Here is a 15527-nt window from a genome sequence, read left to right on the forward strand (position 1 = left end):
ATTGTTTTTTCTTTGGTAGAAATTAATAATTTTACTCACTGGTTTTTCTTAATTTTTTCCTTTTTTTAACTGATTTTCGAGTAAAAACTTTAGTTTTGACAAAGAAAATATATTCATAAACATATACACTTTTATTAAGTCAACTACTGGTATTATATTAAATATATATCTTCTAATATGCAGAATATATATATTCTAATATGCAGATTTTGCAGCTCGCCAAACAGAGGTATTTAAGATCACGCACAGATCAATTTTCAAAGACAAAAGGCAGCACACAGTGCAGGGAAATCTAGTCCCAGAGGGAGCCCCCATGTCAGCTGGGCAGGACCCTTCACACCAGCAGCACTGATGGGGGCGGTGCCCACCCCGGCCCCAGGAACAGGATCACAGGAAATGAGCTCAGCTGCTGCACTGGAGCAGGATGAGAAATCGAGAATGAATCCTCACTCCTTCCTAGTACAACGCCAGAGTAGTCCTAAATATATACAGAGACGCTCTCCCACACACTCCAAACTGGGCTGGGACCGCCAGGACAGGAAGGACGACGTGACAGCCAGGAAGAGAACCGTCTACGCATCTTCCTCCTGGAAGGCCTCGGACTTGTCTCTGTTTAACTGAGGCGGAAGGACAGAAAGGAGCCCCAATGCTCTGGCCTCTAGAGTTCTGTAACAGAGTCCGTCCTAACTTACTCTTCCTGGCTCTCTAACCCTTGAGACTGAGACTTGCTAATACACTTCTAGAAGACAGTGGGCACAGCACTCATAACAAAGTACAGTGATTAAACGGTATCTACAGTGATTAAATGCTTCCTACCCCGCATTAAGAAGCAGGGAGGAAGAGTTTTGAATGTAAGAAAGTAAAAAGTTTGCAAAGCATCAGTAAATAAGGTTCAAAGGAGAGCAACTTAACTTCAGTAATTAGTAATTTGGGGAATTTTTAGCAACTATTCGTAACATCCACCAAACTCTTAGGATTAATTCAAGCTTATAACATAGTCCTTCCTATTTGACAGACTTGAGAAGGCAGGATCTTTTAATACTTTCAATTTGCTTTTTATTCTCTTATACCCTAAATATTTGATGAAATATTCAACCCACCCATTGCTAATGGCAGCTTCCACTTTCTGAACATCTACATATGGGTCAGGGATGTTATATAATAATATCTCTACAGGCATATGGTCTCAAAACTCCTGGGCTCAAGTGATCTGCCCACCTCGGCCTTCCAAGGTGCTGGGATTACAGGCGTGAGCCACTGGGTCCAGTCTAAATGTTTGGTATTTTTAATCCCTTGTTATTTGTCTTTACTCCCCACATAAGACTTTTTACGTGTCAGTTTTAAAATTCAGAGGCAAAAATTAACTCCACTCATTTTTCTTGTTGCTCTTAACTTAATCTAGTAGACAGTATATTTTGAAATTTCTTTGTGTCACTGCTGTGAATTCAGAAAAGTCTGGTTTTCTTTCTGCACAGTAAAATACCAGCTGCTCCTAATGTCATGATTAGTACCATCTTCTGAAGAATTGACAGTCCATGCAGCAAGTATCATTTTAGTTTAAGGTGAACTGTGTCTTTCAAATTACTTGAGAACTGGTAATTCAAGTAAGCAATTCTTTCACTCTCCTGTAAGCAAGCACACTGTCCGATGTGCCACCCCTCTCCCCCACCAATTGCACTTGGATCGCTTAGGCTAACATATGTGTACCCTACGGCACAGAAATTCCCTCCCAGGTAAACACCCAAGAGAAGTGAGCAGGTATGTCTACCAAAAAGACACACACAAGAATGTTCAAAGCAGCTTTACTCATAATTATCAAAAACTGTAAACTACCCAAATGTCCACTCACAGAAGAGTGGATAACCTGTAGTATTCATGTAATGAACTAGTACACATTAAAAAAAAAAAAAGAAAAAAAAAAGGAGGAGCCAGGTGTGGTGGCTCATGCCTGTAATCCCAGCACTTTGGGAAGCCGAGGCGGGTGGATCACCTGAGGTCAGACGTTCAAGACTAGCCTGGCCAACATGGTGTAACCCTGTCTCTACTAAAAATACAAAAATTAGCCAGGCGTGGTGGCACATGCCTATAGTCCCAGCTACTAGGGAGGCTGAGGCAGGAGAATCGCTTGAACCCAGGAGGCAGAGGTTGTAGCAAGCCACTGCACTCCAGCCTGGGTGACAGAGCGAGACTCTGTCTCAAAAAAAAAAAAAAAGGATGAACTCCTGTCATACACAACACTGATGAATCACACGGATGTATGTGAAGCTAAAAAAAAACCAGACACAAAATACTGCAGGATTCCATTACATGAGACTCAGAAACAGACACAACCCCAAGATCATGCAATGGGGGAAAACAGCATCTTCAAATGGTACTGGGGTGGCTGGACAACCACATGCTGAAGAATAACTGTGCGCCCCTACCTCACACCATATACAAAAAAATTAACTCAAAATGAATTGAAGGCCTACATGTAAGAACTCAAACTACGAAACACTTAAAACACGGCTGGGCGTGGTGGCTCACACCTATAATCCCAGCACTTTGGGAGGCCGAGGTGAGTGGATCATGAGGTCAAAAGATCAAGACCATCCTGGCCAACATGGTGAAACCCCGTCTCTACTAACAAAAATTAGCTGGGCATGGTGGCACATGCCTGTAGTCCCAGCTACTCAGGAGACTGAGGCAGGAGAATCGCGTGAACCTGGGAGGCAGAGGTTGCAGTGAGCCGAGATCACGCCATTGCATTCCAGCCTGGTGACAGAGTGAGGTTCCGTCTCAAAAACAAAACAAAACAAAACAAAAAACCACATGTAAATCTTTGTGGCCTTGGATTAGGCAATGGATTCTTACAGGTAAAACATGAAAAACAGGTAAGTTAAACTTCACCAAAATAAAAATCATTCTGTTTTTTAACTACAAACACCAAACCTGAACAAAAAAATGTTCAAAAGAAGCCATTAAGAAAGATGGCTGGGCATGGGTGGCTCACACCTGTAATCCCAGCACTTTGGGAGGCTGAGGTGGGCAGATCACAAGGTCAAGAGATCGAGACCATCCTGGCTAACACAGTGAAACCCCGTCTCTACTAAAAATATTTTTTAAAAAATTAGCCAGGCATGGTGGCGGGTGCCTGTAGTCCCAGCTACTCAGGAGGCTGAGGCAGGAGAATGGCGTGAACCCGGGAGGCGGAGCTTGCAGTGAGCTGAGATCGCGCCACTGCACTCCAGCCTGGGCGACAGAGTGAGACTCCGTCTCATTAAAAAAAAAAAAAAAGTGAGAAGACAAACAACAGAAGCGTAGGAAATATCTGAAATCACATATCTGATAAGGGACTTACATCCAGAATACACAAAAAGCTCTCCCAACTCACTCATAAAGACAAATATCCCAATTTAAAAATGGGCAAAGGATCTGAATCATCATTTCTCCAAAGAAGATATATTAATACAAATGCCCAATATGCACAGAAAAAGATGCTCAAAGTCATTCGCAATCAGGGAAATGCAAATCAAAACTGTAACCAGACCTCACTTCACACCCACTAGGGTAGCTACAATAAAAAAGACAAATCATAACAAGCGTTGGCCATGAGGTGGAGAGATGAACTCTTACACACTGCTAGTGAGATTGTAAAATGATGTAGCCTGGCAGTTCCTCAAAGTGCTAAACACAGTTACTACATGACCCGTCATTCCACCCCTAGGTATATAAACAGGAGAAATCAAAGCATGTCTGCACCAAAACTTGCACACTGCATGTTTACTAAGAACCAGGTTTTAAAAAATTTAATATAAAAAAAATTTGTACATGAATATTCACAGCAGCATCATTCGTAATAGTCAAAAAGTGAAAACCGAAATGTCCATCAACTGATAGCTAAATAAACAGAATGTGGTCTACCTAGACAATGGAATACTACTATTCAGCCAGAGAAAGTAATTAAATAACAATACAACATGGATGAACCTTGAAAAGATTATGCTAAATGAAAGAAGCCAGCTACAAAAGACCACGTATAGTATGATTCCATTTATATAAAATGTCCAGAATAGGCAAATCCATAGAGACAAAAAGTATATTAGTGGTTGCCAGGGGCTGGGGAGAGGGAATGCTAAGTACTGCTAATGGGTACAAGGCTCAGGGGCAATGAAAATGCTCTAGAATTAGACAGCGGTGAGAGCTGCACAAATGTGTGAATAGAGTAAGAACCAATAAATCATACACTTAAATCAAAAAGCCAGGCGTGGTGGATCACGCCTGTAATCCCAGCACTTTGGGAGGCCAAAGCAGGTGGATCACTTGAGGTCAGGAGTTCCAGGCCAGCCTGGCCAACATAGTGAAACCCCATCTCTACTAAAAATACAAAAATTAGCCAGGCGTGGTGGTGCGCACCTGTAGTCCCAGCTGCTTGGGAGGCTGAGGCAGGAGAATTGCTTGAACCTGGGAGGCAGAGGTTGTGATATGCTGAGATTGTGCCACTGCACTCCAGCCTGGGTGACAGAGCAAGACTCCTTCTCAAAAATAAGTAAATAAAACAATAATAAAAAACCAAGCACAACGAATCTGTGATATGGGTCACAACAGTGTGTACCACACATGAGGGGGTCACAACAGAGACTACTTGGGTGCACGATTCATTAATTTATTCAAAAAGTATTAAAGGTATTTAAAAATATTCCTGAAATGAAGCAAGACATTGTGGCTACGAGTAAGCACCTGAGTCCTTCAGACTTCACCGCTTACTGTGTTGCAAAATACTGAGCATGAACTCCAGTTTCCTTGTGGGTAAATTAAGGATAATCCCAGAACTGTGGGTGAATGTGACAGTGGATGTCAACAATGAGCAGTGCCAGGCTCTGAGACAGCCCCAGCACGCAGAGCCAGCCTAATCGTTTTGTGATCACATACGCATCACAGAAGATGTGCTGGGCTTCCCCTTTCCCACAGAAACAGCATGGAAGCCCCTCCCAGGAACACGCCCGTCTGCAGTGCAGCTCAGTGCCTGGTGCACAGCTGGCGCTCAACAGGTGCATGTGAGTGAAAAGAAACCCACAGCTTCCAGAAGGTTCTTCCTACGTCACCTGCCTCCTTCTATATTCTGTGCCCATGAACTTGGACATCCAGAACATACTCTCCTATCTAAATACAAGTACATGCAATTCTCCCTTAATAGGGCTGTTATTTATTTGTATTTTATCTTTTATTATTTTTAAACTCATTCAACTGGAAAATACTAGTGACAAGAAAAACAAATTCATGCCAGGGACTTTTTTTCATCCTAGCATAGATCCTGAGATCAGCAGAGTTGATCTGAGTTGCTGAAACCTTCTGCATATAAACCATTTTCAGCAGGGTTCTTAACAACTGTCCAGAGCCAAGTACTGAATTATCTGAGTCCAACTGCCAATCTTTCTAAATTGAATAGTCAATATGTCAGGAATACTATGGTGTTAAAAAAGAAAAAAAGGATAAAAGTAAACATTTTTATGGGAAATTTTCTCTTATCCAAAATTCCTTCAATCTTTTACCTTATTTAGACATTGACTCTGCATTTCTGCATGAGGAATAAGTATGTCTCTGGAAGAAAAAATACTGTTGCTAATTATATGAAACTTCTAGGACCTAATCCAGCACCAGAGAAGTGAGGCTAAAGAAATGCTAAATTACGCTTGTAATCCCAGCATTTTGGGAGGCCGAGGTGGGTGGATCACGAGGTCAGGAGATCGAAACCATCCTGGCTAACACGGTGAAACCCTGTCTCTACTAAAAAATACAAAAAAATTAGCTGGGCGTGGTGGCAGGCACCTGTAATCCCAGCTACTGAGGAGGCTGAGGCAGGAGAATGGCATGAACCTGGGAGACGGAGCTTGCAGTGAGCCGAGATTGTGCCACTGCACTTCAGCCTGGGCAACAGAGCAAGACTCTGTCTCAAAGGAAAAAAAAAAAAAAGAAATGCTAGATTGGCCAGGCGTGGTGGCTCATGCCTGTAATCCCAGCACTTTGGGAGGCTGACATGGGCGGATCACGAGGTCAAGAGATCGAGAGCATCCTGGCCAACATGGTGAAACCCCGTCTCTACTAAAAATACAAAAAAAAATTAGCTGTGTGTGGTGGTGTGCACCTGTAGTCCCAGCTACTTCGGAGGCTGACGCAGGAGAATTGCTTGAACCCAGGAGGCGGAGGTTGCAGTGAGCCGAGATCGCGCCACTGCACTCCAGCCTAGTGACAGAGGGAGACTCCATCTCCAAAAAAAAAAAAAAAAAAAAAAAAAGAAATGCTAGATTGGAGCCCTCAGTGGCCAGACACGCATGTGAGCGGGAAGCAATATTCAAAACAGCAATAGCAATCCATCCAGCAACTCCAGCCCTCCCAGCACCTGAGGGGCTCTCCAGCCAGCAACTCCAACCCTCCCAGTGCCTAACTGGCTCTCACAGGGTGGCTGCTCCTGAACCAGAGGAAGGGCCACCAAGCAAACCGCCCTCAGAGTGAGGCGCTCACTTTCCTTCCTGAACAGAGGAGAAGCGTGGAGCGGCCAGCCCGGCCTCACCTTGCCCGACAGGAGTGACCAGTAGTCGCCCATCTCCATGGGGCGTGCCCAGCACGGTATCAAAGCCCTCTCATGGCCAATGAGGTTGAAGGTGGAAATGGTACCTCTTTTTAAAACATTTAAGAATGTTTAGAAGAATCTGGTTCTTTTAAAAAAGAGGCAAAGAAAGTTTGAGGAGCATAGTTTGGATAACAATGGCTTCACTCATTTTAAATGTTATTTATTTCAGCCTCAACAATTAAATGTGTTCAGGTGGCCAGGCACAGTGGCTTATGCCTGTAATCTCAGCACTTTGGGAGACCAAGGTGTGTGGATCACCCGAGGTCAGGAGATCAAGACCAGCCTGGCCAACATGGTGAAACCCCATCTCTGCTAAAAATATAAAAATTAGCTGAGTGTGGTGGTGCACGCCTGTAGTCCCAGCTACTTGGGCGGCTGAGGCGGGAGGATCACTTCGACCTGGGAGGTGGAGGTTGCAGTGAGCCCAGATCCCATCACTGCACTCCAGCCTGGGTGACAGAGGGAGGCTCCATCTCAAAAAAAAGTGTTCAGGGCTGGCTCACACCTATAATCCCAGCACTGTGGGAGCTGAGACAGGTAGATCACTTACGCCTAGATGTTCCAGACCAGCCTAGGCAACATGGCGAAAGCCCGTCTCTACAAAAAAATTCACAAAAATTAGGTCAGTGTGGTGGCATGCACCTACAGTCCCAGCTACTCGAGAGGCTGAGACGGGAGGATGGCTTGAGCCCAGGAGGTGGGAATTGCAGTGAGGCAAGACTGAGCCATTGCACTCCAGCCTGGGTGACACGGTGGCACCCTGTCTCTACACACACACAAAAGTGTTCAGATTGGCTGCCAGACTACCCACCTCCAATATGTCACATATCCAACTGAACCTAAGCATTTCTGAGTTACTTTTTTTTTAATTAAAAAAAATATTTTATGCTGATATTTTTCAGTATTATAAAAACGCCGGCATGAAGGAAATGAAATAAAAAAAGTACATGACCCAGACACCAAGCAGAGAAAGATGGCCAGTGTGCTCCTGTATCGTCATCTTTGGCTCACCATCCCCACGTAAACGCAGTAATAAACAGGAAGGAAGGATGTTTTCACAGAAGACTTGAAAATGTTCTTCTGATTTCATGAAAGTAATTGGTAAGCCAGGAAAACTACCCTTTTCACCAGATGCCTAGAGATGAGACACTAAAATCAACAAATGAAAGAGCTTTCCAAATAATCAATAAAACTTTACGGCAAAGTCAGCAAATGTTTAACATTTTGCAAAAGGACATCTAGCTTTGTGCAGTCTGCATTTCCTTTCACAAGCTACAAGAGCTGTCAAAAATGCTTCTCCTTAAACAAACGCTGCAGTAAAAATACAAGATTTATACTACCAGGGTTTATTTGATTATGAAAATTGTACTTTTCCAGAACGTCTGGCGATTTCCAATTTGGGATGAGCCTGGTATTTCTCTACAGGCGCCCACACGCAGGCCTTTCCCCAGTGCTCTCAGCAGGAAGGGCCTGGGGCTCCCAACAGCACCAAGGCCCAGCCTCTGTGCAGCCTGATGTGCAGGTAGAATGCCCAACCCGTCTGGCTTCTAAGGGCTGGATTCCGGAAACCAACTAAAAAGCTGATGTACCAGAGACTACAGCATCACTCACATGGGTGGACAAGTATCAACTAATTTTTCTGAACTTCAATTAAAAAATCAAAAAGCTTAAGATCACATTTTAAAAAGTTGAGTCCTCACTAATTGTCAACTCCAAAGTGTCTCCAGTGAACAACTACTATAAGACCTGCCTTCTATTATTATTATTATTATTTTTTTTTTTTTAAGAAAAATGCCACAAGCCCAGGGCATCCTCACCCAGCAAGCAGCAGAGGGAGCCAAGAGCACCAGCCGGCGGCCAGCCTTGTGGCCTCAGGGCAGCGGCAGGTGTTTCTGATATGAAGGCCTGGAGAAGCAACACGTATTTCATTCACTTCTCCTTGTCCCCCTCTGCTGTCTCAGAGTGACAGATCCAACCTCTCATGCCCACCCACGAGGACCAAGGAGAAGGGAGGTAATAACGCACTTCTCGGCCTCTCTGCAACCCCGCGTGGGTGCACACTTGGGCCTCAGGCCTCACCAGCTCCTGACTGGAATATACTTTACCACTGCAACATCTGAAATGAAATCAGAAATGCCTATTTTTTTTTACATCGATTGAACCCCCAAATAGTTTATTTCCCACAAAATATACTGGGCCAATAGTATAGGAATGATCTGTCAAATGCCAAATTTGTCCAGCTAGGAAAACACTAGAAACCAGTTAAAACTTTTGAACAGGACAGGACAAATGCCAATTCTTCCACAAATAAACTGCAAAAAAAAAAAAAAAAAAAAAGGAGAGAGAAAGAGCTTACAGATTAAAAGAGATTAAGGAGGTGTACAATCCAAATGCCTATAAAACAAATCCACTTTTTTTTTTTTTTTTTTTTGAGACGGAGTCTCGCTCTGTTACTCAGTCTGGAGTGCAGTGGTGTGATCTAGGCTCATTGCGACCTCTGCCTCCCGGGTTCAAGCAATTCTCCTGCCCCAGCCTCCTGAGTAGCTGGGATTACAGGCATGCAGCACCACGCCTGGCTAATTTTTATATTTTAGTAGTTTCATCATGTTACCCAGGCTGGTCTCGAACTCCTGATGATCCACCTGCCTCAGCCTCCCAAAGTGCTAGGATTACAGGCATAATCCACCGTGCCCGGCCACAAATCCACTTTTTTTAAAAAAAAAAAAAAAGGAAATTTAAACAATGACTATTTTATGATATTGAGAAATTACTGTTATTTTTTAATGTCATATTATTATGGCTATGTTTTTAAAGAAAACCCTCATCTTCTTGAGACACACACTGAAATATTTACAAATGAGATGACAGATTTCTGGGATTTTCCTAAAATAATCCTTTTTGGGGAAAGGGAATAAAAGTGAAATACAACTGACTGTGAGTTGATAACTGTTGAAACTGGTGGTTCATTATTCTATATGCTCTACCTCTTTTTGTTTTATTTTTGTTTTTTTGTTTGTTTTGAGACGGAGTATCGCTCTGTCACCCAGGCTGGAGTGCAGTGGCGCCATCTCTGCTCACTGCAAGCCCCGCCTTCTGGGTTCACGCCATTCTCCTGCCTCAGCCTCCCAAGTAGCTGGGACTACAGGCGCCCACCACCATGCCCAGCTAATTTTTTTGTATTTTTAGTAGAGACGGGGTTTCACTGTGTTAGCCAGGATGGTCTCTATCTCCTGACCTCATGATCCACCCACCTCGGCCTCCCAAAGTGCTGGGATTACAGGTGTAAGCCACCGCACCCAGCTGCTCTACTTCTAAAGGTATCTGAAATTTCCTATTTGAAATTTTAAACTTTGAAATTTGAATAGGAAATATTACCAATTACTATCACTTTTATTAATACTCATTACACAAATACCACCATATAAAAAACTCAAGAGACTCCAAAAAAGGAAGAATGACATTTTCATACATGAGCTCATCACTATTTTCAATAATATTTAAATAGAGGATGGCTGAGTGACATGGGATACCAGCTAGAAGTTTCTGAAAAATTAGTTTCCTTTTACAAATACCCAAAACAGGAAGATTGAATCGAAATCACTACAAGCTCCTGCCCCAAACCACACAGCAGTTTCCTCACTGGAAGTGCATTGCGGCAGGAAAATCAGCCCCACGCCTGGTGTATTTGCCATGAGTACGTTTGTTTTATTGCTGGCATTCCTTCTGGGTCATAAAGCAGTTTTATGAGCTGATAAAACTTCTGTACGGATTCTACAAAGCTGCCATGGCAAACAGCTTCAGTATTCAGCGTAACATATCTGTCTCCATCTCCTGCATCTGATTGATACAGGCCCTTTGGACTGACTGGACTTTCAAAAAGTCTAAGATGGCGACTCTCTTACTGTTAAAATGTTTATCTAAGTCTTCCTTTCCAATGTGGTACTGGAGAACGCTTTAGGACAAACAAGAAACATTTAAAATTCTCCATACCAAACTTTATTTTTAAAAACATTTAAGGCCAGGCGTGATGGCTCATGCCTATTCCCAGCGTTTTGGGAGGCCAAGGTGAGAGGATCACTTGAGGCCAGGAGTTTGAGACAAACCTGGGCTCAACTAGTGAGACCTTATCTCATTTTAAAAATACACATTTAAAAAACAGTAAAAATGAAAACATTTAAAGTTCATTTTACTGAGAATATTTCTCTCAAATTATAAATGCAGTATTTTAAGCATCATTAAACTTGCAATACAATCAACAACAGGAATTACCATAGCCGGGAAAAAAATAAACTGTTAAGAAAAGGGAGGTAGAGGCTGGGTGTGGTGGCTCATGCCTGCAATCCCAACACTTTGGGAGGCTGAGGCAGGTGGCTCACATCACCTGAGGTTGGGAGTTCGAGACCAACCTGGCCAACATGGGGAAACCCCATCTCTACTGAAAATACAAAATTAGCCAGGTGTGATGATACACATCTATAATCCCAGCTACTTGGGAGGCTGAGGCAAAAGAATCCCCTGAACCCGGGAGGCGGAGGTTGCAGTGAGCTAAGATCGTGCCACTGCGCTCCAGCCTGGGCGACAGAGTGAGACTCCGTCTCCAAAAAAAAAAAAAAAAGAAAAGAAAAGGGATGTAGAGGGGACTATGAAATGGATACTAATTCAGAATAGCCTGGATTTTTAAAGTTTCTTTCCTTAATATTAAACAAAGTTTTATTTATATTACAAACCAATTATTATTAAAATGCTATTGGAGAAAAACTATAAAATCTGATCAACTGAGGATCTAGCAGTATTCAAAAATACCACCATTCAATAGGGGCAACTAGCAATTAATTCTATACTTTTTTTTTTTTTGAGACGGAGTTTCGCTTTTGTTGCCCAGGCTGGAGTGCAAGTGGCACAACCTCAGCTCACCACAACTTCCGCCACCCAGGTTCCAGCAATTCTCCTGGCTTAGCCTCCCAAGTAGCAGGGATTACAGGCATGTGCCACCATGCCCGGCTAATTTTGTATTTTTAGTAGAGACGGGGTTTCTCCTTGTCGGTCAGGCTGGTCTCAAACTCCTAATCTCAGGTGATCCGCCTGCCTCGGCCTCCCAAAATGCTGGGATTACAGGTGTGAGCCACCGCGCCCAGCTCAAGTGGTTTTATAAATGCATACTTTAAAATTTCACTCTCTAAAATATTTTTCAGGGGTCAGGTGTGGTGGTTTACACCTATAATTCCAGCACTTTGGGAGGCCTGCCAGGCAGGAGGATCACTTGAGCCCAGGAATTGGAGACCAGCCTGGGCAACATAGTAAGACTTCAACTCTACAAAATACTAAAAACAAGGCCAGGCAGCCAGGTGCGGTGGCTCATGCCGGTAATCCCAGCACTTTGGGAGGCCAAGGTGGGTGGATCACGAGGTCAGGAGATTGAGACCATCCTGGCTAACATGGTGAAACCCCATCTCTTCTAAAAATACAAAAAACTAGCTGGATGTGGTGGCGGGCGCCTGTAGTCCCAGCTGCTCAGGAGGCTGAGGCAGGAGAATGGCATGAACCCGGGAGGCGGAGCTTGCAGTGAGCGGAGATCACGCCACTGCATTCCAGCCTGGGTGACAGAGCAAGACTCTGTCTCAAAAAAAATAAAAAATAAAAAAAAATAAGGCCGGGCACAGTGGCTCACACCTGTAATACACCAGCACTTTGGAAGGCCAAGGCAGGAGGATCGCTTTAGCTCAGGAGTTCGAAACCAACCTGGGCAACATGACGAAACCTCATCTGTACAAAAATACAAAAATTAGCCAAGTGTGGTGGCACGCACCTGTAGTACCAGCTACTGGGGATGCTGAGGTGGAAGGATCACCTGAGCCCAGGAGGTCAAGGCTGCAGTGAGCCATGATCATGCCACTGTACTTCTGTCTCAAAAAATAAAAATAAAATAAAATATTCTTTTTTTTTTTTTTTTTGAGTGGGAGTCTCGCTCTGTCGCCCAGGCTGGACTGCAGTGGCGCGATCTCAGCTCACTGCAAGCTCCCCCTCCTGGGTTCACACCATTCTCCTGTCTCAGCCTCCCGAGTAGCTGGGACTACAGGCACCCGCCACCACGCCCGGCTAATTTTTTTTTGTATTTTTAGTAGAGACGGGGTTTCACCATGTTAGCCAGGATGGTCTCGATCTCCTGACCTCGTGATCCACCTGCCTCGGCCTCCCAAAGTGCTGGGATTATAGGCGTGAGCCACCGCGCCCAGCCTAAAATATTCTTAAACACAAGACTGAAAGCTTCTTAATTTTTCCTAAAACTACAGTAATTCTGACGCCAAAATATTCCAAAGATAACATACAAAAGTTAAAACCACAGACTATCTACAGACTACTCCTCATTTGGAAATACAGATTTAAAAAAATAATAAAAAAAATGAATACGATAGGCTCAACTGTGCAGTTAGAGAATAAAATGCCACAGCTAAGCATGTTTTATTCTGGGAATGCACATATGATTCTATAGCATGTATATCAATACAGACAATAAAAAATAGCCAAACTAAAATCACAGTTCTGATACATGCAATAACCATATTTCAACATTAATTTCTCATTAAAAGTCGTGACTTTTTATTTTATTTATTTACTGAGATAATGTCTGGCTCTGTCGCCCAGGCTGCAGTACAGTGGCACAATCATGGTTCACTGCAGCCTCGACCTCCCAGGCTCAAGCAATTCTCCTGCCTCAGCCTCCTGAGTAGCTAGGACACAGGCCCACACCACCACGTCCAGCTAATTTTTGTGTTTTTTTTTGTAGAGACAGGGTTTCGCTATGCTGCCCAGGCTGGACTCAGGTATATCTGCCCACCTCTTATAGGCGTGAGCCACCACGTCTGGCCATCTCAGACTTTTAGACTTATCAAAATCAGCTTTTAATGTTTAAAACAATCTTTCAAATTAACATTCAATTTTAATGGAAAAAGACTAGAACATGCTTTAAAATAAAAAAGCAAGAAAGACAATTATAATAAACTCGGGGGAAGGAGACTTTCACTTTTCGTGGCATACCTACTTCTTGTACTGCTTAAATTTATTTTATCATGAGCACGCTTTTCTTTTTCTTTTTGACAGCGTCTCACTGTGTCACCCAGGCTGGAGTACAGTGGCACAATCATAGCTGACTGCAGCTTCGACCTCCCCAGGCTCAAGCAATCCTCCCATCTCAGCCTCCCGAGCAGCCGGGATTACAGGTGTGCACCACCATGCCCAGCTAATTTTTGTATAATTTGTAGAATCGGGGCCTTGCTATGTCGCTCAGGCTTATTTTCATAATTAAAAAAAATTAAAATAAAAATAGTACTTGCCAAATGTACCTTTTGTGATTGGTATTCTGATACTTTCAATACATGGTATGAGGGGCAATCCCAAATCACAGAAAACCGCAGCTCAGCTTACCTACAACTGCCCTCCAAGGACGGGCCCAAAGCTAAGGGCTTTGTAAAGCCCAAAGCTAAGGGAGGTGGCTCAAGAGATATGTGGAGAGGAGTTTTTAAAGAATTTTAGGCCGGGCGTGGTGGCTCACACCTGTAATCCCAGCACTTTGGGAGGCCGAGGCAGGTGGATCACAAGGTCAGGAGATCGAGACCATCCTGGCTAACACAGTGAAACGCGTCTCTACTAAAAATGCAAAAAATTAGCTGGGCGTGGTGGCGGGCGCCTATAGTCCCAGCTACTTGGGAGGCTGAGGCAGGAGAATGGTGTGAACCCGGGAGACGGAGCTTGCAGTGAGCCGAGATCATGCCACTGCCCTCCAGCCTGGGCAACAGAGCAAGACTCCGTCTCAAAAAAAAAAAAGAATTTTAAAAACTGGCTGGGTGCGGTGGCTCATGCCTGTAATCCCAGCACTTTGGGAGGCCGAGGTGGGTGGATCACGAGGTCGAGAGATCAAGACCATCCTGGTCAACATGGCGAAACCCCGTCTCTACTAAAAATACAAAAATTAGCTGGGCATGGTGGCACATGCCTGTAGTCCCAGCTACTCGGGAGGCTGAGGCAGGAGAATAGCGTGAACCTGGGAGGAGGCGGAGCTTGCAGTGAGCCGAGATCACACCACTGCACTCCAGCCTGGACAACAGAGCGAGCGAGACTCTGTCTCAAAAAAAAAAAAAAAACCAAAACAACTTCAGCACTCCTTAATAGCCCCAAAGCGGGCAACCCAGATGTCCATCAGGAGTGGACAAAGAGAGGGTTGTGAATACAGTGGACACTACACAATAACCACAAGGAACTAAGCTGCAGCTATACCCAATCATGTGGATGGATCTCAGTTACTCTTACTTACAATTACTTTTTATTTTTTGAGACACAGTATCACTCTGTTCCCAGGCTGGAGTGCAGCAGCATGAGCTCGGCTTACTGCAAACTCCACCTCCTGGGTTCAAGCAATCCTCCCACCTCAGCCTCCCGAGTAGCTGAGACTACAGGTGAGCACCACCATGCCCAGCTAATTTTTCTATTTTTTGTAGAGACGGGGGGGGGGGGCGGGTCTCATTATGTTGCCCAAGCTGGTCTCGAACTCCTGGACTCAAGTGATTCGCCCACCTCAGCCTCCCAAAGTACTGGGATTACAGGCTACAATTACCTTTTATTATGGTAAAATATACGTAACATAAAATGTACAATTTTAACCGTTTTTTGAGATTGACCAAGAAAAAAAACAGCAGCAACTCAAATTGCTAGGATGGAAATAAAAGAAGGGACACTACTGACATTAACAGAAGTAAAGAAGATTATTAAGAAAAACTATGAACAACTGTATGCCAACAAATTAGATAATCTAGGTGAAATGGACGAATTTATAAAAAGACACAAACTACCAAAATTGACTCTTGAAGAAAGAGAAAATGTTAATAGATCTACAACAGGCACAAAGATTGAACTAGTAATCAAA

At 43.8% G+C, this 15527-nt stretch overlaps 1 protein-coding gene across 8 annotated transcripts in view, besides 1 other annotated feature; it reads right to left on the reverse strand.

Annotated features, from left to right (window-relative positions):
• Window positions 1-15527, reverse strand: part of CDC42BPB (CDC42 binding protein kinase beta) — a 125170-nt gene that overhangs the window by 91230 nt on the left and 18413 nt on the right. The window lies entirely within an intron of this gene.
• Window positions 10243-10537: a silencer, noted in NCBI's record as "tiled region #14595; HepG2 Repressive non-DNase unmatched - State 23:Low". NCBI's record gives its function as "represses a minimal TATA promoter and a strong SV40 promoter by Sharpr-MPRA in HepG2 cells {active_cell/tissue: HepG2}" and the evidence as "EXISTENCE:reporter gene assay evidence [ECO:0000049][PMID:27701403]".

The sequence above is a fragment of the Homo sapiens genome, chromosome 14 (assembly GCF_000001405.40).
Source record: "Homo sapiens chromosome 14, GRCh38.p14 Primary Assembly".
Lineage (NCBI taxonomy): Eukaryota > Metazoa > Chordata > Mammalia > Primates > Hominidae > Homo > Homo sapiens.